This window comes from Homo sapiens, chromosome 8 (assembly GCF_000001405.40).
Source record: "Homo sapiens chromosome 8, GRCh38.p14 Primary Assembly".
Taxonomy (NCBI): Eukaryota; Metazoa; Chordata; class Mammalia; order Primates; family Hominidae; genus Homo; species Homo sapiens.
The window spans coordinates 8448464-8469087 of NC_000008.11; the positions used below are offsets into that span (position 1 = coordinate 8448464).

General features: G+C 44.6%; 2 long non-coding RNA genes across 3 annotated transcripts, besides 2 other annotated features; one reads left to right on the forward strand and one right to left on the reverse strand.

Moving 5' to 3' along the window:
- Positions 1–8246: 8246 nt before the first annotated feature.
- Positions 8247–12924, reverse strand: LINC02950 (long intergenic non-protein coding RNA 2950). Its single transcript, NR_186598.1, has 3 exons — positions 12657–12924; positions 9946–10063; positions 8247–8619 (listed from the first exon to the last, which is right to left on the reverse strand). It is a non-coding gene; the product is annotated as a long intergenic non-protein coding RNA 2950 (long non-coding RNA).
- Positions 11962–19008, forward strand: LOC107986913 (uncharacterized). Of its 2 annotated transcripts, none has more exons than XR_001745796.2 (4): positions 11962–12947; positions 13959–14018; positions 16971–17087; positions 18454–19008. It is a non-coding gene; the product is annotated as an uncharacterized LOC107986913 (long non-coding RNA). The 2 variants fall into 2 exon arrangements; XR_001745797.2 differs by lacking the exon at positions 11962–12947 and adding an exon at positions 13499–13796.
- Positions 12796–13090: an enhancer, noted in NCBI's record as "tiled region #2598; HepG2 Activating DNase matched - State 5:Enh". NCBI's record gives its function as "activates a minimal TATA promoter and a strong SV40 promoter by Sharpr-MPRA in HepG2 cells {active_cell/tissue: HepG2}" and the evidence as "EXISTENCE:reporter gene assay evidence [ECO:0000049][PMID:27701403]".
- Positions 18387–19586: an enhancer, noted in NCBI's record as "BRD4-independent group 4 enhancer chr8:8324360-8325559 (GRCh37/hg19 assembly coordinates)". NCBI's record gives its function as "activates an origin of replication core promoter dependent on BRD2, P300/CBP, MED14 and CDK7 cofactors, and independent of BRD4, by STARR-seq in HCT116 cells {active_cell/tissue: HCT116}" and the evidence as "EXISTENCE:reporter gene assay evidence [ECO:0000049][PMID:35650434]".

Here is a 20624-nt window from a genome sequence, read left to right on the forward strand (position 1 = left end):
CCAGTCATCCAGTGATGGACATTTAGATTGATTCTGTCTTTGCTCTTGGGAATAGTGCTTTGGTAGACATATGAGTGCAGGTGTCTTTTTGTTTGTTTGTTTGTTTTGTTTTGAGACAGAGTCTCACTCTGTTGCCTAGGCTAGAGTGGAGTGTCACGATCTCAGCTCACTGCAACCTCCATCTCCTGGGTTCAAGCAACTCTGCTGCCTCAGTCTCCCAAATAGCTGAGATTACAGGTGCCTGCCACCATGCCTGGCTGATTCTTGCGTTTTTAGTAGAGATGGGGTTTCACCATGTTGGCCAGGCCAGTCTTGAACTCCTGACCTCAGTCTTGATCTGCCTACCTCGGCCTCCTAAAGTGCTGGGATTACAGGTGTGAGACACCATGCCAGGTCAGGTATCTTTTTGATAGAATGATTTCTTTTCCTTTGGGTAGATATCCAGCATTGGGATTGCTGGGTCGAAAGGTAGTTCTATTTTTAGATCCCTCAGGAATCTCCATACTGTTTTCCACAGAGGTTGTACTAATTTATATTCTCACCAAGAGTGTAGAAATGTCCCCTTTTCTCCATATCCACGCCAATTGTTGTACTTAGACTTTTCGATAATAGCAATTCTGACTGGTTTGAGATGGTGTCTCATTGGGGTTTTAATTTGCACTTCTCTGATGATTAGCGATACTGAGCATGTACTCATAGTTTTTGGGCACTTGTATGTCTTCTTTTGAGAAATAAATCTGAAGTAGAGAATTTTTTTTCTTCTTGCCTTATGAGCTCTGCCTAGAATTCATGCCTAGAATGGTACTTGGTATATGCTAAGTGTCTCTTCTCATTCTTGTTATCAGGGGATGCATTCAGAGCTGCCAGTGGCCCTGGGTCCCGTCCACACGAAGAAGCTGGAAAGAATGAGGCCATGCCAAAACAGAGGCTGAGATGAGAGGCGAAGGCAGAAATCTGCCCCCATTCCTGGGAAAACTTCCTTTCTACGTTTTGTTTTCATGGGCCAATACATCCCTTTTCCTTGTTTAATCTAACTTGATTTGGAATTCTGCATTTGTAATAAAAAAGTTCTAATAATAATAAAGTTCATGCTGTTATTTGGCAGATGCTGAGATGTGAGCAAGAGAAAAGAGTCAAGAATCAAGCAGGAATATCGAGCAAGGTGGACTCAGTGACTCATAGAAAACACACGGAGACAGGTTTTGGAGATGATGATGATAATAATGATGAACTTAGTTTTGGGCAAAATGAGTTTGAGGATCTTTGAATTTTCCCATGTGGAGCTGTTCCATTTGTTGTTTGGAAACGTGGATAGAAAACTCAGCAGAGAGTTCAGGGATGAAGCTGTAGATCTGGGAGCCAACTGAACGGAGCTGCAGCTGAAGGCCATGACACTGCAAGAGGAACAGAGTGGGGCTAGAAGGAGACCAAGGACTGGGCAAGGAACAGAAGCAGGCGACACGGCCTTGTGGGAGCACGACAAGGAGAATCGGCATGTGTAAGGTGAGAGGAGTCACAAGGGGTAGTTCTAATGACACATAGAGTGTTGTTGTGCTCTTGGCCAGGTGTGGTGGCTCACACCTGTAATCCCAGCATTTTGGGAGGCTGAGGTGGGTGGATCATTTGAGGTCAGGAGTTGGAGACCACCCTGACCAACATGGTAAAAAACCATCTCTACTAAAAATACAAAAAATAATAATAATAATAATTAGCGAGGCATGGTGGCTCACATCTGTAATCCTAGGTACTCAGGAGGGTGAGTCAGGAGAATCTCTTGAATCTGGAAGGCACAGGATGCAGTGAGGCCAAGATCATGCCACTGCACTCCACCCTGGGTAACAGAGTGAGATTCTTCTAAAAAAAAAAAAAAAAAAAAAAAAAAAAAGCCCAGCACAATGGCTCACACCTGTAATCTCAGCACTTTGAGAGGCCAAGGCGGGCGGATGGATCACTTGAGGTCAGGGGTTTAAAACCAGCCTAGCCAAATGATGAAACCCTGTCTCTACTAAAAATACAAAAAACTTAGTTGGGCATGATGGCAGGTGCCTGTAATCCCAGCTACTTGGGAGGATGAGACAGGAGAATCGCTTGAACCTGGGAGGCAGAGGTTGCAGTGAGCCAAGATAGTGCCACAGCACTCCAGCCTGAGTGACAGAGCAAGACTCCATCTCAGAAAAAAAAAAAGTGTCGTGGCACTCTGGATGCAGACACTGGAATGGATGAGAGTTTTGAAGAGGCATTGCATTTCTCTGGATGCAGACACTGGAATGGATGAGAGTTTTGAAGAGGCATTGCATTTCTCTGGATGCAGACACTGGAATGGATGAGAGTTTTGAAGAGGCATTGCATTTTACAAGTAGTTTACTGGCACCCCCTGAGAGAAGATTTCAGTTTAGCAGGAGCAAATCCCAGACTGCACAAGGCTGAGAAGGATGGGAGATGAGAAGGGGGAGGGGAGGCACAAAAAAGAGGGAAAGGTGTGGGAATTCCAGAGTTGTGGTGAAATCAGATCGCCTCTTGTTTTTCTTAAGAATAATTGTGATGTAAACACATTTGCATGTTGAAGAGAAGTCAAAAGACAAAAAAAATACATCAGACGAGTAATTATTGACAAAACAAGTTAAAAGAGGAAGTGATAAAGGAAAAAGGAAGTAGCTTCAAGGAGGGGAAAATATATTTCCTTATTTAAGACAAGAGAGGCTACACATATCTGAGAGGTGTTAAAAGATGAAAAAAAAGACAAAAGGGCAAGAGAAAATGACCATGATGAACCAGAGAAAATTTAATGTAGAAGAGTCAATGTTAGCTGAAATTCCATCCAATGATCTCCATCTCATTTTCTCAAAGAACTTAAAACAGAACTACCATTCGGCCCAGGAATCTCATTACTAGTTATATGCCCAAAAGAAAATAAACTGTTCTACCAAAAAGACATGTACACCTGTATGTTCATCGCAGGACTTCACGGTAGTGTCAGTGGCGGACTGCATAACGCAAATGTGGTACATATACACCATGGATTACCATGTAGCCATAAAAAAGAATGAAATTGTGTCCTTTGCAGCAACGTGGATGCAACCGGAGGCCATAATTCTAGGCAAATGCAGGAACAGAAAACCGAATACCATACGTTCTCACTTATAAGTGGGAGCTAAGCAGTGGGCACTCATGGACATCAAGATGGCAACAGGCCAGGCACAGTGGCTCGTGCCTGTAATCCCTAATCCCAGCACTTTCGGAGGCCAAGTTGGGCAGATCACTTGAACCCAGGAGTCTGAGAACAGCCTGGGCAAAATGTCAAAACCCTGTCTCTACAAAATATACAAAAAAATAGCTGGGTGTGGTGAGGTATGCCTGTAGTCTCAGCTACTTGGGAGGCTGAGGTGAGAGGATCGCTTGCGCCTGGGAGGCAGAGGCGGAAGTGAGCTGAGACTGTGCCACTGCACTCCAGCCTGGGTGACAAAAGAGAGACCCTGTCTCAAAAGAAAATTTAAAAGATGGCAACAATAGGCACTGGGGACTCCTAGAGGAGGAAGAGAAGGAAAGGGGTCAGAAATGAAAAACTAACCATTGGGTTCTATGCTTACTACCCAGGTGACAGGATCAATTGTACCCCAAACCTCAGTATTATGCAATATATCCACATAACAAACCTGCACATGTACCCCCTAAATCTAAAATACAAGTTGAAATTATTTTTAAGAAAGGATTTTGATCTCAGGAAGGTAGGTGACAAAGTCATGGGCTGCCTGACAGAGGGCTAAGGTGCTGAGTAGAAAATATTTGGAACTGTTGTGAGAAATTAAGTTTATTATAACTTTGGAGAAGCCCTGAAGTTAGAAAGCATGAATTGGTAGTAGATCCAGCTGATTTTTTAACAGCCCAAGATAAGAAATGGCAAAAAGCACAGTCGTGTTTTTCCAGTCTGATGGGAAGTCAAGGAACAAAGCAATCTAGGGTACTGGTGAGTGTTACTGAGTTAAGGGAGCACACTTGTCTCATTTCTCAGCCTGACATAGGTGACTTGTCTGGTGCTCTGCAGATGCTGAGTAGCACAGTATCTGGCACAGAAGGGTCAGGCAATAAAGATTTATTTCACTGGATTAAAAAAAGGCATTCTTTAATTTTTATGATGGACTCTTTCATCCACATTCAGCTCTGACACGTAGGAGTCACTTTTCTTTCTTTCCTACATTTGTTCTGTCGATCTGATTTAAAAAAAAACAAGATGTTTTCGGAATCATCCCTGTGGAGAGATAAGGTGGTGATGGCAATGGGAAAATGCAAAGTAGAAATTAGAAACAAATACATGAATATATTTGCAGTAGCATTTGAGGAACTGGGAACGTTTAGTGACTGTGTGTGTGAGTGTGTGTGTGTGTGTGTGTTTTCTTCTAAGCACAAGTGCTGATGTTCTGAGATGAGGTAGTGCATCATGAATCATACACAGAAAGGATTTATGAACCAAAAAAAAAAAAGAATGAGATGGTGGGCGAGGAAATCTGGGGAGAATATAGGGTGGTCAACTGTCTCAGTTTGCCTGGGATAGAAGGGTTTCCCAGGATGTGGGACTTTCCGTGCTAAAATGGAAAAGTTCCCAGAGATTCTGATTTAATTGGCCTGAGGTGCAGCCTTGACTTCTTACGTGCAGCCAAGATTGACAACCCTTGAGCAGAGCTCAGGAGACACAGCCTAGGTCAGTGATTCTCAAATTGCAATGTGCCTAAGAATGGCCTGGAGGTCTTGGTAAACAGCTTCCAGGAGCCCAGCAGAGTTTCTGATTCAGAATGATTTTTCACCTTAACGTGTGAGGAGAAACATGGCCAATAATACTCAATATTCATTGCTGCATAAATAGAGTCTTTTCAGAACTCCTGGAGACTTCGTGGAAAATGGCACCCTGGGAAACACTCTGTGAATTAACATTTGTTTTATATTGGCAGACTGAAGATTGTTAACTCCACAAACTGTACATATTTCTAAATTGGGCTCTTGGAGGACTTCTAAACCTTCCAAGTAATTGATCTGAAGCTAAGGGCATAAGCTTAGCCTTTATGACAACATCTTGTACTATTCTACTGCCCTATTTTTAAATATATATATATATATTTTACATATATATAAAAAATATAGTACTTTCATTAGGACCTGAAAGAGTTGATCCTAAGTCTACTGACCAGCTTTCTTGCAGTATAATCCACAGAAAACTTCAAGAATAACTGATTCTGTTTTCCTATCCTTGCCCCTTGATCCCCCAGCTGAGGAAGCACTGGTGAGAATCACCCCCTCTCACTGATGTTAAGTATCAGGTGAAACCTTTATGCGTTTCAAAGGCTGAAGAAAACATAAAACAAAGGCGGCCTTGCCAGGCGCAGTGGCTCACGCCTGTAATCCCAGCACTTTGGGAGGCCGAGGCGGGTGGATCACGAGGTCAGGAGATCGAGACCATCCTGGCTAACACGGTGAAACCTCGTCTCTACTAAAAATACAAAAAATTAGCCGGTTGTGGTGGCGGGCGCCTGTAGTCCCAGCTACTCGGGAGGCTGAGGCAGGAGAATGGCGTCAACCCGGGAGGCGGGGCTTGCAGTGAGCGGAGATCGCGCCACTGCACTCTAGCCTGGGCAACAGAGTGAGACTCTGTCTCAGAAAAAAAAGAAAGAAAGAAAACAACAACAACAACAACAAAAAAGGCGGCCTTATTAGCCTGCTTTGGTGCTGATCTGAATTAAAAGCTGAATAAATGCATAAACATAACAAGAACACTAGACAAAATCCAACAGAAAAGAGACATACATGTCAGAAACATAGTTATCTCTAGTGTGCAAATTTGCGTGGCATCCTAAGGGTCTGGAATGAATGGAGGCTCCTCTTCAGTCTTCCTTAGCATGAGCCAAAGAATTCAACTTCATTGAATCAACAGTGGTACTGGTGGGTGAATATGTAGGGGTAACAAGTGTATTCGAAACTTCTCTAGGATACGGAATTTGCACAGAACCGTTGAAGAAGTAGTGGCAGGAATAAAACAGAAACACTAAACACAGGAAAAGAGGTAGGTCCCCAGTATTTGGAGTTGATGGCTACTGTTTTATGTTGCGGGATTCTAACAAACATTATGAATTACTTACAGATCCATTCAAATTCTTGTTCTGAACCAGTGGGACTCAAGCTTGGCTGCACATTGAAATCACTGGTGGAGTTTTTTAAAAACCTGGTGCCTGGTCCAATCCCAGAGACTCCGATTAAATTGGCCTGGGGTGTAGCCTTGACTTCTCAGGTACAGCCAAGATTGACAGCCATGGAACAGAGCTAAGAATTGCCTGGAGGGCTTGGTAAACAGTTTCCTGGAGCCTATCCTCAGAGTTTCCGATTCCGTAGGTAAAGGTGGGGCAGGAGTTTCTTCATTTCTAACAAGCTCACTGGTGATGCTGATGCTGCTGGACTGAGAACCACGCTTTGAGGACCCCTAGCCGAGGTGTACCATGTTACCATGTGCTGAGACAAGGAAACCATCCAGCATTCCTTGTGGCCCTCTCAAATCAGCGACAGAGCTCCCTGGATGCTCTTTTGCGTGTGCTTGAAGGGCAAGTTGTGCATTTTATTTGCTCAAGTCACTGAAGCCTGGTGAAGTGGGACAGCCTCTTCTTTTCCAGTCTCAAAATATAGGGGCTTCAGTCTTTGCTGTTCTTGTTTTTTATTTATTTATTTATTTATTTTTCTAGAAGCCATCTAATTTCCCCTGTGGTGTCAGATAATCCCAAAGAACATGGTGTCCTGGGCATACATGAGCCAGCTGCCTGGAGTCCCTCCTACCTACTGGCACTCCATCTATGGAGGGAAGCCTTCTCTCTGTCCTCTGCCCCATTCTGATCTGCGGCCTCACTCTGCGCTCTGAATCTGGCCTAATCCAATAAGCAGGACCCACAGGGCATTGGGAATCCTGCCCCAGATAAGGACCATCATGCACAGAGAACTGTAGTGGCCAAGGTAATATTAATAGTCATAAGTCATAGCTACCACTTGTGGGACACTTGTTCTGCCAGAAACTGCACCAACACTTTACACACATCACTTAATTTAATCCTACGTTAACCTTGAAAGATGAGAATTATTATGCCCGTTTTATAGATGAGGAGACTGAGGCTCAGAGACAGTGACTTGCCCAAAGCTTTGGAGCCATGAAGGGAGATGGGATGCATAGCTGGGTCTGGCTTATAAGTGCGTGTTTTCCCACCGTACCCTTCTGCCTCTCGGGCTACGGGTGGGATGGCACTGGGGGCAAGAACGCTGGACGCCGGCTGTTAAATGGTGTGGTGTCCACTCCTAGATGCAGCTGATGGATGGCGGCCCTGGGCAGGTTGCTGGCCTGACCCCACCCTGGGTGCCTGTCCTCAGATCCTTATCTACAGAAAGATGGGCTTTGTCTAGATCACTGCAGCCCTTTCTTGCTCTGCTTTTCTAGAAGTCTCTCTGTGACTCATGCAGCTGTGCCTCCTTTCCCAGGACTCTGCCCTGCCTGGTGATGACACAGCACGTTCAGCACATTTGTTTCCAGGGAGAGCACTCTCCAGAAGGAACCAGGGCCAGCTCCTGTGGCGCCACTTGGTCAGGCTAGCTGGAGGTTGTGTCAACGTCTCGGAGAGCCCCTTGATTACAGTTTATAAGCCGGTTGTAAAGTGCCCATTCTCGGGCGAAACTTGGCTTTCAGTTCTCTGAGATGGCAGAGCATTGCGAACTGGTCACTTTGAAAGCTGAGGGAGAGGTGGACGGAAATCAGGTCCGCTCCAGGTGGCAGCCCCGCCCTTGCTTGTCAGTCCCAGAGCAGCTGCTGTGGGGTGTGCCCTCCCAGGAGGGGATGGGGCAATGCTGCGAGCTTGCACCAAGCTGGGAGCAGTTCTCTGTAGCTCTCTCTTCTCCTAGGGCCAGTAGGAGTGGGTGTGCTGATGGGGGCTCTTCTTACAGATTTTTGTTATGATAGCTACTAATATCATGAGTTGTTGCTACTGACAATACATAGGATGATGTGTTACTTTCCTCTATGACGACTGCATTTGACCTTGAATTAGGAAACTTACATTGGAGCTGGCCCTTTCATTCGAATGGGCCTCATTCCTCATCTATTACATGGGAAGAAGGAGTGAAATAAACCCCTTTTCTTATCCTCTGTGAAAATTCTACACCAAACACAAGAGCAATCACACAAATTGAGAAACATGGGGGCACAGAGAGTTACCTGAACAATATAAAGATTTTAGTTGCTGCAGTGATTTATTTTCATACATTTATTTTATTTATTTACTTTTTAATTTTACTTTAAATTCTAGGATACATGTGCAGAATGTGCAGGTTTGTTACATGGGTATACATGTGCCATGGTGGTTTGCTGCACCCATCAACCCATCATCTAGGTTTTAAGCCCCGTATGCATTAGGTGTTTGTCCTAATGCTCTCCCTCCCCTAGCCCCCCACTCCCTGACAGGCCCCGGTGTGTGATGTTCCCCTCCCTGTGTCCATGTGTTCTCATTGTTCAACTCCCACTTACGAGTGAGAACATGCGGTGTTTGGTTTTCTGTTCCTGTGTTAGTTTGCTGAGGATGATGGTTTCCAGCTTCATCCATGTCCCTGCAAAGGACAAAAACTCATTCTTTTTCATGGCTGCATACATTTATTTTTAAAATTGCAGTAAAATACATATAACGTAAAATTTACTCTTTTAACCATCTTTAAGTGTACAGTTCAGTGACATCAAGGGCATTCACAGTGTTGTACCACCATCACCATCTGTCCACAGAACTCTTTTCATCAATACAAATATTTTAGCAGCGTTGGCATAGCACTAAAAATAACATCTCAAAAATCAATAGTGTTTTGAATTGATAAACCTCCTTTGGAGGAATTTAAGGCATTTCACAAACATTATCTTGTTTGTCCTCGCAATGGCCTTAGACAGAAGCAGAGAGAATAAGAGAGTGGTCAGTTGAGACAGAGAGAAAGAAGGAAAAAGAGGAGAAAATGCAATTTTGCCCAATTTGCAAATGACCCAGAGAGGCTCAGAGAGGCTTAATGAAACATCATGGGTCTCACAGGTATCGCATGGATGATGATCTTAGAACCTGGATGTTTGGTTATTAGTTCAATTTTTAGTTTTCCAGGCTACACTATGATGTCACTGGGTGATTACAGCTTCAACCAGAGAGGGGAGGATATATTTTTAATGTTACAGGACAGCCATGCCTGTAACATTAAAAAGGGGCTCTCCATGCCTTTCAAGAGGGTTTTTCTTCGTGGACACATTGTTGGGATGGGTGTGTCAGTCTGGGAGTGGGGACTGGGAAGAAAAGGCAAGTTCTGGCAGAGGCCAGAGTGGGGTAGATTATTCTCCCAGGTTCTGTCGGTTTCTGGGCAGCTGCTAATAGGAGGATTTGGGTTGTAAGACCTGACTCGGTTGTAAGGCCGAGAGTAAAGCTCTCACCTGTGCAAAAGCTTTCATTGCCTGGGAATTAAAGTTTCATGGCTCCAGCCTGTGTGCGTGTGTGTGTGTCTCTAAGAGAGAGAGAGAGAGAGACAGAGACAGAGACAGAGACAGAGAGAGAGAGAGAGATCAGATATAAAAGAAAAAAGTGTGATTTTTCCTGGCTGTGAATGAGGGATCAGTTGAAGAAATTAGAAACTAAAGTTGATAAATTGTATTATTTATTTATTTTTTAACTTGGTGAGTCTTTAAAGAACTAATTTTCTTTGGTGGAGAAGACAACAACAACAAATTGTGTTCATTTAAAACTGTGTTTCAGGTTAGACATGGTGGCTCACATCTGTAATCCCAGCATTTTGAAAATCCGAGGCAGGCGGATTGCTTGAGCCCAGGCATTCAAGATCAGCTTGGGCAACTTAAGGAGATCCTATCCCTACAAAAAATAAGAAAAATTAGCTGGGCTTGGTGGTACGCACCTGTGGTCCCAGATACTTGGGAAACTGAGGTGGGAGATGTGCTTAAGCCTGCGAAGTCGAGGCTGCAGTGAGCTGTGATTGCACCACTGCACTCCAGCCTGGGTAACACAGTGAGGCCCTGTCTCAAAGAAAAAAAATGTATTTCAATTGGACTTAGTCTTTTTGTTACTGGAAAATTGTACAATACATTTCTGGGAGCAAGAACATGTTACTGCTCCTGGTGCAAGGTTTGAATTACTAAGATCCAGGAACAAAGATGTATGTAAACTTTGATTAAAAGACAGAAATGAACCTGAGAAACAGTCTGGCAATTAGAACCAAGCCAGCAGGGTACTGTTATTTAGCCTGGAACATCCTTTCCAAGTAAGTGGGGAGAAGGGCGCTGCTTCTTAGTGAAAGGAGTATATAATTAATTGGTCTGGTGGTCTCCACTCAACCAGTGATATGTGTAATTGGTTTCTCACTGAGAACAAAGGAAAGCACACAATAAATGCTAGCTTTGTTGTTGTTGTTATTAGCTCTGCAGCTGGCTAAGCTCTGGTGAACCCACAAGAAGACCAAGAAAGAGTAGCTGACTTCAAATCTCCTTCATTCCTTTATTCACTCACTTTCTTAAGAACCTGCTATGCACCGGGCACTGTGCTAGAAGATGGTAAAAAGGGTTTCAGGCTTGGCCATGAATGAGTTTACAGACCAGCAGAGGGAGAGGAGACAGATACGCCAATGTATCCGTGCAACCAAACATCATCGATGCCATGAAAGACACATACGCAGACAGTATAATGAAGGGAGTGATTAGTTTGTTTGGATGGTGTATAAGGAAGTAGAGAAGGCTTCTGCAAGAGGTGATGTCTAAGCTGTGTTTTTAAAAATATCAGTGAGAATTTCCCAGGCAGGAGCAGTTTGGGAGGATAGGTGAGAAGCACTGCAGGGAATGGTGTATTTGTTGCTACTGATAAAGACATGCCCGAGACTGGTTAATTTATAAAGAAAAAGAGTTTTAATGGGCTCGCAGTTCCATGTGGCTGGGGAGGCCTCACAATCAGGGCGGAAGCTGAAAGGCACGTCTTATATGGCAGCAGACAAGAGAGAATGAGAACCAAGTGAAAGGGGCTTCCCCTTATAAAACCACGAGATCTTGTGAGACTTATTCACCACCATGAGAACAATATGGGGAAAATTGCCCCCATGATTCAATTATCTCCCACCAGGTCCCTCCCGCAACAGGTGGGAATTATGGGAGTCACAATTCAAGATGAGATTTGGATGGGGACACACCGCCAATCCATATCAATGTTGAGCAACTGAAGTGAAGGTTCACACTCCCCAGAGGTTCTTTATGAAATGATTGCTGAATGGAATGGAGTCACTGGCAAAATGTACTGCCTGGGGGAGAGGGGCACAGATGGTCAGGCATCCTCAGAAGAAAGGAGGAAGGTGGAATGAATAATGGCAAGAAGAAAAGTGATGAAACAATAAATGAGAGTAGTTGGATGATAAAAGAGTACAAAAAAGTGGAAAGGTTAAGAAAAATCTTCTATTAAACCTCCGAAGAGGAATTACAAAGCACCCAGAGTTAAGCCAAATGATCAGCAGACAGGCCTTTCCAGTTGATGTTTTCATTTTTAATTTTTTTCTGTGACATCAGAAATTCCTGCTAACCTTTCCACTTTAAAGCTGGAGATAACATGGCCTGAATCAGGCAAAAATCCTCAACAGAACTAGGATGATGCCATCTAGGCGGCACAGTCTCTAAGACTAGAAGCCATCATTCTCTTTGTATCAGATCCAGCCTGGTCCCACTGCCTGCTGAAGCTGCACCCCCAGAAGAGACAGAGCCCCTGGATGTCTCCAAGGGGCAACAACCAGCCCATCCTCTGTCCTGTGCCTGTAAACTCATTCATCTCCATCTCAAGTGTTCGCCATGATCCCAGGTTCCAGGAGGCCGGGAGGATCAAGAGTCTCAGAGAGCAGAAAGCCCACAGAATCTGGCTACCACCGGGAGATCAGTTGCCCTTTTTTTTTTTTTTTTTTTTTTGAGACAGAGTCTCCCTCTGTCACCCAGGCTGGAGTGCAGTGGTACAATCTTAGCTCATTGCAACCTCTGCCACCAGGGTTCAAGCAATTCTCTTGCCTCAGCCTCCTGAGTAGCTGGGACTACAGGTGCTGACCACCATGCCAAGCTAATTTTTGTATTTTTAGTACAGACAGGGTTTCACCATGTTGGCCAGGCTGGTCTCAAACTCCTGATCTCAAGTGATCTGCCCACCTTGGCCTCCCAAAGTGCTGGGATTACAGGTGTGAACAGGTGTGAGCCACTGCGCCCAGCCGAGACCAGTTGCCTCAATTGTCAGTTTCCTCCTCTCTCCCCTTCTCAGGTCTATCATGGCAGAATTTGTCCCAGAACATAAAACTACAGAACACCCCAGTTTCGGTGTGAGAAAAGAGCCTAGGCATCTCCTAATTTAATGGGCTTCAAATGGTTTGGCTCAGTTGTCCTAAGCAATAAAAATAATTTGAGTATGTAACCTCAATTGATGTATATTTATTCATTTATAAATGACATACTTCTGTACCAACATACTTTAAGACATATACAAAAATTATATTTAAAAAGAAAAATAAATAAAATGATAATATTTTCTCCTGTGCCTTAATGGATTAGCTTTGTTCCTTTTGGGATATGTGAATCTGTTTTGGAGACAACTTACCTAATTCAGCCTGATCTGCTAATCTCCTCTGTAACTCCCCACCAAGAGGAAATTCAACCTTTTCATGAACACTTGGAGGGACACCCAATCCATTTTTGGAAACATCTAGGCGTTTCTTGATTACCATGCTCTGGATGGCCAAATCGGGGGGTTTTCATGCAGTATCACACCTGGACTTCGAGCCACAAGTGAACACTTCTCTGGGCGCCTCACTTCTGGCTCTCCCTGGATCTCACTGCAACCTGAGTGCCAGAGCTGTGAAGACTGCAGCAAAGTCCTCCAACTGCCACGGTAAATATTATCATTGCCTCTGGTATGCAGAAAAGCAAGCCGAGCCGCATTTGCTGCTTCCAGGTGGCAGACACAGAAATGAGAGCAGGGAGGGAGGGGCTGGGAAGGTGTCTGGGAAGAAAGAGATCAATAAGACCTCACTAGTGTGCAGTATTTACTGTAAACAGCCCAAGGTGGTTTGGGGTTGGGGTGAACTGTCAACATAGAACAGTTCTTTCTCAGGGACTGTGGGAGCAGGTGTTCTAAAAGGAAGGATGAAGATAGCAGTTGCAGTGGGATGGGCAATGAGACCCTGGGCTCAGGGAAGTCACTGAGGGTTAATGTGGCCGGGCAGCCAACGTCACAGCACACGAGGCCCCTGCCACATCTTACCCACACATTTCAAGATCCTGTATCGCCACAGTGTGTCATTACTTTGAGACCATGGACTACTTTCTCAATTCTTCAGCAGAGAGGTTTTTTCCAAAGCACACAAATGCTAGTGGTGGAGCTGGTTTAAGGCCAAGAATCCTCAACTGACAAAGAGCTCAGTAAGCCCTGGGTAGGATAAAAAATGCAGGTGTGTCTTGCCCTAAAACATCTCAGGATGAAAGAACTCGTTGGAAGTGCCTCTCCATCCAGATTTTGTCTAAAGCGTTTAAAGGCGGCTCTCTTTCAACAATTAAGCTGGTGTGGGATGGAAGAGCTTTCCTGCAGTTAGGGAAAAACCTTCTCCCTCTTCCTCTTTCCCAGTTCCAGTTGCTTTTGAGTGACAGGCTAACCTGAGCCCTGAAGCCAGATTCAGAATTACTATGGCTTTGAATTTGATCTCTTATTGTTCTATACTGAAAGAGCAATATTCTTTTTGAGGTGAGTGAGTTCCCCATATTGGAAGCTGCTCTGGGTTTGGGGTAGAATCTTCAGGATCCAAGGGAAGAGGACTGAACTCAAAGGAAAAACAACTTGGGTTGTAGTTGGTGGTGAGACTACGCTAACTTTGTTTTTTTTTGTTTGTTTGTTTTGCTCGCCAAGAAAGCCTCTCCTAATTCACCAGTTCCAGAAGGCTGCCTGCTTCCCTGGCCACAGGGGTAGGTATGTATTCAGGTGTGACCAATCATTCTGTCCTGACGTTAGTGATTGACCCAAGGGTCAAACTGGGTCTTGCCAAGGTCCGATAAATATAAAGTAAATATCCATGGTTGCTCCATAGGAGGCTGTGAATTTGGGGCTCTTGGGCACCGTGTTATTACCTGACATGGGGAGACTTGGAATGAGGCCGACAGACAGGTGGCAGGGATGAAAGATAAATGCAGGCGGGCATGAAGCTGCATGACAGGGAGAGTCCTGGGAGTGTGGAGTCGACCACAACTCCTCGCTCTCCCCAACCCCATGTGAAACCCATCAGCGAGGTCTTTCATCTCCACCTTTGAAAGAGAACCAAATTCTGATGATGTAATGACATCTCACCAGGCCCACTTTGACAATCTTAAGTCCAGAGGGCAGAAGGTCTCTCCTAGAAAACAACAGTGGTGTTCTATCTGGTCTCCCTGCTCTCTGCTTTGCTTCCGCATAGGCTAGTTTCCATATAGCAAAGAGGTCATTTGGTTGTTGTCTGCTTGGCTAGAGAGCTTTGAAACAGTCCTTACATTCTGTCGCTCCTCTGCTCAAACTCTCCAAATGATTCCCATCTCACTCACAGTAAAAGCCAATGCCTTACGGTAGTTTGCCACTCCCTGCAACCTGCTGTCCACCTCTGCTCACGGTCCTCCCCACTGTTCCTTGAACAGAACATGCACGTTCCCAGCTTCACGTCTTTGTATTGGCTATTCTATCTGCCTGGAAGATGGCAGGGCTCACCCCCTAAGCCCTGCAGGCCTTTATTCAATGTCACCTTAGTAGTAGGGCCTTCCCTACCCCACCACACCCCTCCCCTCCACTCACACAATTCTCTGTCTTCTGACACGGCTATTTTTTTTGTAATTTTTGCACACTATATATTTATTTTTCTGTTTGTTGTTGATGTCATAATTTTCATCACCGTGTAGCTGAAACCTGAAACGCTCAGCTGAAACACTGAATGGCCCCTGAAACCTAGTGACTACAATCAGTTGCAATCCTGGCATTCCGGGTGCTGGTCCCAGCTGTTCTTTCCTTTATTCTGCTGGTTTCAACAGCGGCCTTCCCAGCTACCAGAGCCTATTAATTCCCACTTTTGCACAGGCTAACTTGACTTGTGTTGGAGTACTGCCATTTTTAAACCTGGAAATTTGGAGGCGGATCTGTAAAATGTCTAAAGATGAAATACATTGGTTTCCCCCCCCCCGCCCAAGCTTTTGATATTGGTTCAAACTATGGGCTTTCAAGATGCCAATAGCTGAACCCAACACAAATGTAGAGCTTATTCATAGTTTTCATATCATTGTCTCTTGTTAAATTGTACATTCTTAAATTTTTTTGCTACATTCTTAAGCCTGAGTTTTGGTATCTCTTAGGGTCAGCATTCTCCTGTGGGAATTTATCTCTGAAATCAAACCTAATTAAGAGAGTACATGGGGTTCAATTTAGATAACTGCTTACAGTCAACTTTTTCAGATGGGTAACTCATAAAATGAGGAGTACGGTGGTGTTAACACTCCATTTCCTTATCATCGGGGTAGTGTAGGGCTGAAGTGGAATGACCGACAAGGAAACATCTGGAATCAGCTATTTTGTGGCAGTAATTACATATCCTCACCCACTTCTGCATGGAAGCTTCCTCTAGGCTGCAGGCCACTGGTATTCCACCTTTGCTGTACCTTAAAATCACCTGCGTTGAGTTGAAAACTCCTTATATCCAGGCTGCACCCTGGACCAATTAAATCAGATCTCTGGGGTAGGAAAAACATCAGTGAGAACAACAGCAGGTAGTCCTGAGCATATACTGCCTATCAGGTTCCAAGCTATGTGCTTTACATGAATGATCTCATTTAATCCTAACAATTCTTCTATAAGGCGGTATTCTTACTATCCCACCTAAACAGAAGGGGAACTAGATAGAGGTGCACAGAGTTTAAGTAGATTTTCCAAGGCTTTTTGCAGGGAGCCAGTGAAGAGAACCAGTTACTAATCTAGACAATCTGACTTCAGAGGCAAAGCTCTTTCACAATTTGCTTTTTATTTAAAACATGAAATGTACATAATCAATTTTATTATATATTATATATAATATTATTATATTATATATAATATATATAAATTATATATAATATATATATATTTTTTGAGATGGAGTCTCGCTCTGTCACCCAGGCTGGAGTGCAGTGGTGCAATCTCAGCTCACTGCAAGCTCCGTCTCCCTGGTTCACACCATTCTCCTGCCTCAGCCTCCTGAGTAGCTGGGACTACAGGCACCCACCACCATGCCCAGCTAATTTTTTGTATTTTTTAGTAGAGACAGGGTTTCACTGTGTTAGCCAGGATGGTCTCGATCTCCTGACCTCGTGACCTGCCCGGCTTGGCCTCCCAGAGTGTTGGGATTACAGGCATGAGCCACCGCACCCGGCCTATATTTGTTTTGAGACAGAGTTTTTCTCTGTTGCCCAGACTGGAGCGCAGTGGCGCAATCTCGGCTCACTGCAACCTCCACCTCCCAGGTTCAAGAAATTCTTGTGCCTCAGCCTCCTAAGTAGCTGGGATTACAGGGGTGCACCACCACACCTGGCTAATTTTTGTATTTTTAGTAGAGACGGGGTTTCACCATTTTGGCCAGGCTGGTCTCGAACTCCTGACCTCAAGCGATCCACCTGCCTCGGCCTCCCAAAGTGTTGGGATTATAGGCGTGAGCCACCACACCCAGCTGAAATATACATAATTTAAGGAGTCAAATAGTTCTCCAAAGCTCATTACCAAAAATACCAGTCTACCAGTCCCCTTCTTATCCCCCAGCTGATCTATTTCCTCATCCTCAAGGTGATCACTTTTAATCATTTTGGCTATTTCTTTTCATATTGATATCTATGCCTCTATCATTGTTTATAATGTGACTTTTGCTTTTTTCACTTCAAGGCTTGGCTGTTACCTTCCCAAATGGAAAATGAGGGTGTAGATTTCATTGCCCATTACTGCCCACTTCTCCTGATCTACCTTTGATGATACCAGAGTGGATTACATTATTTGGACTGTGTAAGTATTATGAATTGTGTAAATAGCAGAGCTATGCAATATGTTCACCATATGACTATTCTTTCCTTTCTTAAACAACTCTATTTTGTTACCAAGGTGTAGAATCTGCTGTTATCTCTCTCAGAGTAATCATGGTTGTTGGTTTCTTGTTTGTTTGTTTGTTTGTTTGCTTTCATTGGTGGGTGAGGTGTAATCTCATGTTCTTGCATAGTTTCTGTTTACTTCAAGTTGCTTTTTTGTTTGTCTCTTCTGGAATCCGCCTCAGATGTTCTGTGATCTTTGGCTGTTTGCTCGTGAGTGTCAGAGAGGTGCAGAAAGCAGACTGGAAACTGCATAAATGGGGAGAAGGAGGGTTGTCTCTTCTGGCTTCACTGAACGTTTCCTCAGGAAACTCCAGCATCGGTATCACTAACATGCAGAGTTAGGAAAGGGATCTGTGCATCTAAATGTTTTGAAAACACTTTTCACCAACCATCTTCTTTTAAGCTCCTAGTTTACCCTCCCTTCCAAAGGTACCCATGCTATCCATTCCTGAGGCTTTTCAAGGACCTGGATGCAAATTGAGTTGCATCTCAGCTTTTCCCATTGGCTGACTTAGAATGCATCTGTCCAGAATGCACTCTGCCAGTGATCAGTTAGTTATGCCCCTGCTTTAAAAAAAAATCATGCACACGGGCCAGGAGCGGTGGCTTACACCTGTAATCCCAGCACTTTGGGAGGGCGAAGTGGGTGGATCACGAGGTCAGGCATTCAAGACCAGCCTGGCCAACATGGTGAAACCCTGTCTCTACTAACAATACAAAAATTACCCAGGCATGGTGGCGTGTGCCTGTAGTCCCAGCTACTTGGGAGGCTGAGGCAGGAGAATCACTTGAACCCAGGAGGCAGAGATTGCAGTGAGCCAAGATCTCGCCACTGCACTCCAGCCTAGGTGACAGAGCAAGACTCTGTGTGAAAAAAAAAAAAAGTATGCACACGTATCTATATTACACACATGTATCTGTTATATGACCTTGTGACTCAATCTCTTTGTCATAGTGACTTTATGTCCTCACTGAAACTTTCTACCCTCATTTTACTGGGGACACAGATAGGAGTGGAGCTAAACGAGTGTGCTCAATCCATCATCCTTAATGGAGGAATCAGAGCGCCCCATCACCACTTTTATTAAAATGATAGAAAATCGACTGTCTGCCTGCTAGAGAGTGTGTATAAGCACCTCCACAAGCCTGCTTCACTTGCTTCTCACAGCCGTTTTAGATAGGTCAGGAGGCCTTCATATGCCCACGGGAATAATAGGGCGCTTAGCCGAGACCACGTCGCAGGTCTCTTGACATCTAACCCAGTGCCATTTCCACGTGTTCAGATGCTATCCTGGGCTATTCCGAGGACAACACTTGAAACGGGAAAGAATGATGTGCCTGGGCCCACCAGAGATTATGGGAAACCTTGATGCTGTTTATCACCTTGATTCAAATTTCATGTTCACAGCCTGAGTCTACAAAGAAGAGAAACAGAAGAGGGAAGCCTGGTGTAAAACTCTTTCATTCCATTCTTGTCTGTCTTTATCTGCTCCAACTGTGAGGGCTGCTTACCCTAGAAGCAGATCAATGCAGAGATGGACACATTTGCAGCACCTACAAAGGGTGAGAAAAGACAGGGGATTCCCAGGCACCGGAAGAATGAGGAAAACAGTGACCTTTGTTCCCAGGCTACAGAAAAATGCTGTATCTAAACTGACATCGGCCGGCTGGATGGCATTTAGAAGCCAAATGAACTGCTGTTAAGCGGCGAGGTCAGGGGTTCAGCTAATTGTGGAACCACGGGCACTCCCCACAGACCCAGAAATCTTTGTAATCTATGGCTTAGGGACATACATTGTGAAGGTGATTTTTACAGTTCATCTTTGAAAATAGAAAGACGCGGGAAGCTCTGGCTGCTACACATACTGATAGTAGCCTTGCCTGGTGTCTTAGAAACATCTGTGAAATATAGCTTTCTGGCTTAAATAATAAAAGGAGATAGAAAGATAAAAAGAAATTACAACAAATACAGTGAATGAACCAGCCTTGATAAGGTACCTGCAGAAAACGACCTTATTTTCTCTCTCCAATGCATTAGAATCCATGTTGTAATTTTGTACATTCTGCAACGCTGGATGAAAAATCAGGCAAATCAAATAACTTTATCGCTATTGGTAATAAAAAGTCTTCTAGGTTGTTTAAAATCCAAGATGAGTCTCCTGGAAATCAAGCATTTCAATAAATAAAATGGCCAAGGCAATGTAGGCATCAAAACAGAAAGCTTTATCTAAAGCCAAAGTTCTTTTCCTCTTCTGTTCTGTGCCTGCCTGAGGCTCAAGATCCGTGACTGGAGATTCTTTCCTCCTCCTGCTGCCTCGTGATATTGATTCTGGCTTCCCTGGGGCTGGAGCTGAGGGGAAGGAGATATGGGAAGGGACCAGAAAGTCCTCGTTGGCGGGCACAGCTGTAATGAGACATGGGGTGTAGAGATGACCAGTTCTACATCTCTCCCTTCCGGGACCTTTTGGATTGTGAATCTCTTGATGCAGGCAGTGCCGTGTTCTGGGCAAGCAGCTTTATGAAGATTCCTCCCTCCATCCTGGGGCTTCTGTGTGTCGGTCCCTCTGTTGGGTCATGGTGCCTTCCAGGAAGCCATCTGTGCTGGCAGGGTCCTCCATGGCTTCTCATGTGGTTCATAAGAGACTCTTCTCTATCCATAGCAGTCCCACCCCTCTCTCACTCGGTTCTTCTAGGTCAGGCCAGTGGTCACAGTCTCTGCTGTTAGTTTTCCCCAGAAATAAGTCAGGTGCCAATGTCTGCACTCTGCACAGTTTTAGGGGATGCAAATCAAGTTAAAAGTGGCTACCCTGCTCCCCTGTGTTCCCAGCAGCACTGTACATAGCCTGATGGGAAGGGAAAAGGGGAAAAGGTCCCCTCTCCTCCTTTGTGGGGATGGGAGGAAACTCATCCTGCTGACTTTGCACAAGCTATACCCCTGTTTGGGCCTCCTCAGTGTCCCCTGCTGTACATGTAGGCAGGTGACGGCATTTGACTCTTTTTTTTTTTTTAATTTACCCCTTTGATGCATTTTGAGTCTGGCATTAGCCTGGCTCCTGGTGGTTTGTCCCTGGCCTTTGGGAGCCATAGTAGAATGGAAAACATTCCTCAAATATTACAGGTCCTAATCCTCACCTGTGAATATTACTTTATTTGGCAAAAAAATGTGGTTAAACTGAGCATCTGTCACTGGTAAACTGAGTTCCTTTCCTACTTTACATTGGTCACAGGGAAAGAATACCCAATTGGAAAAAAGGCAAGCAGGATTTATTCTCTGGCCAGAGAAGGAGAAGGAGTGAGCTCTCGCTCCCAAGACACCTCCTACTCCCCAAGCTGTGGGAAGCTGGGGGATTTTAAGGCGTTAGCTATGGATGTGGGAGGTTTGTAAGTATGTGCAGGTGCAAATCATAAACATGCCTCTTCATACAAAGCATGTTCAGAAAATGGCGGCGATTTT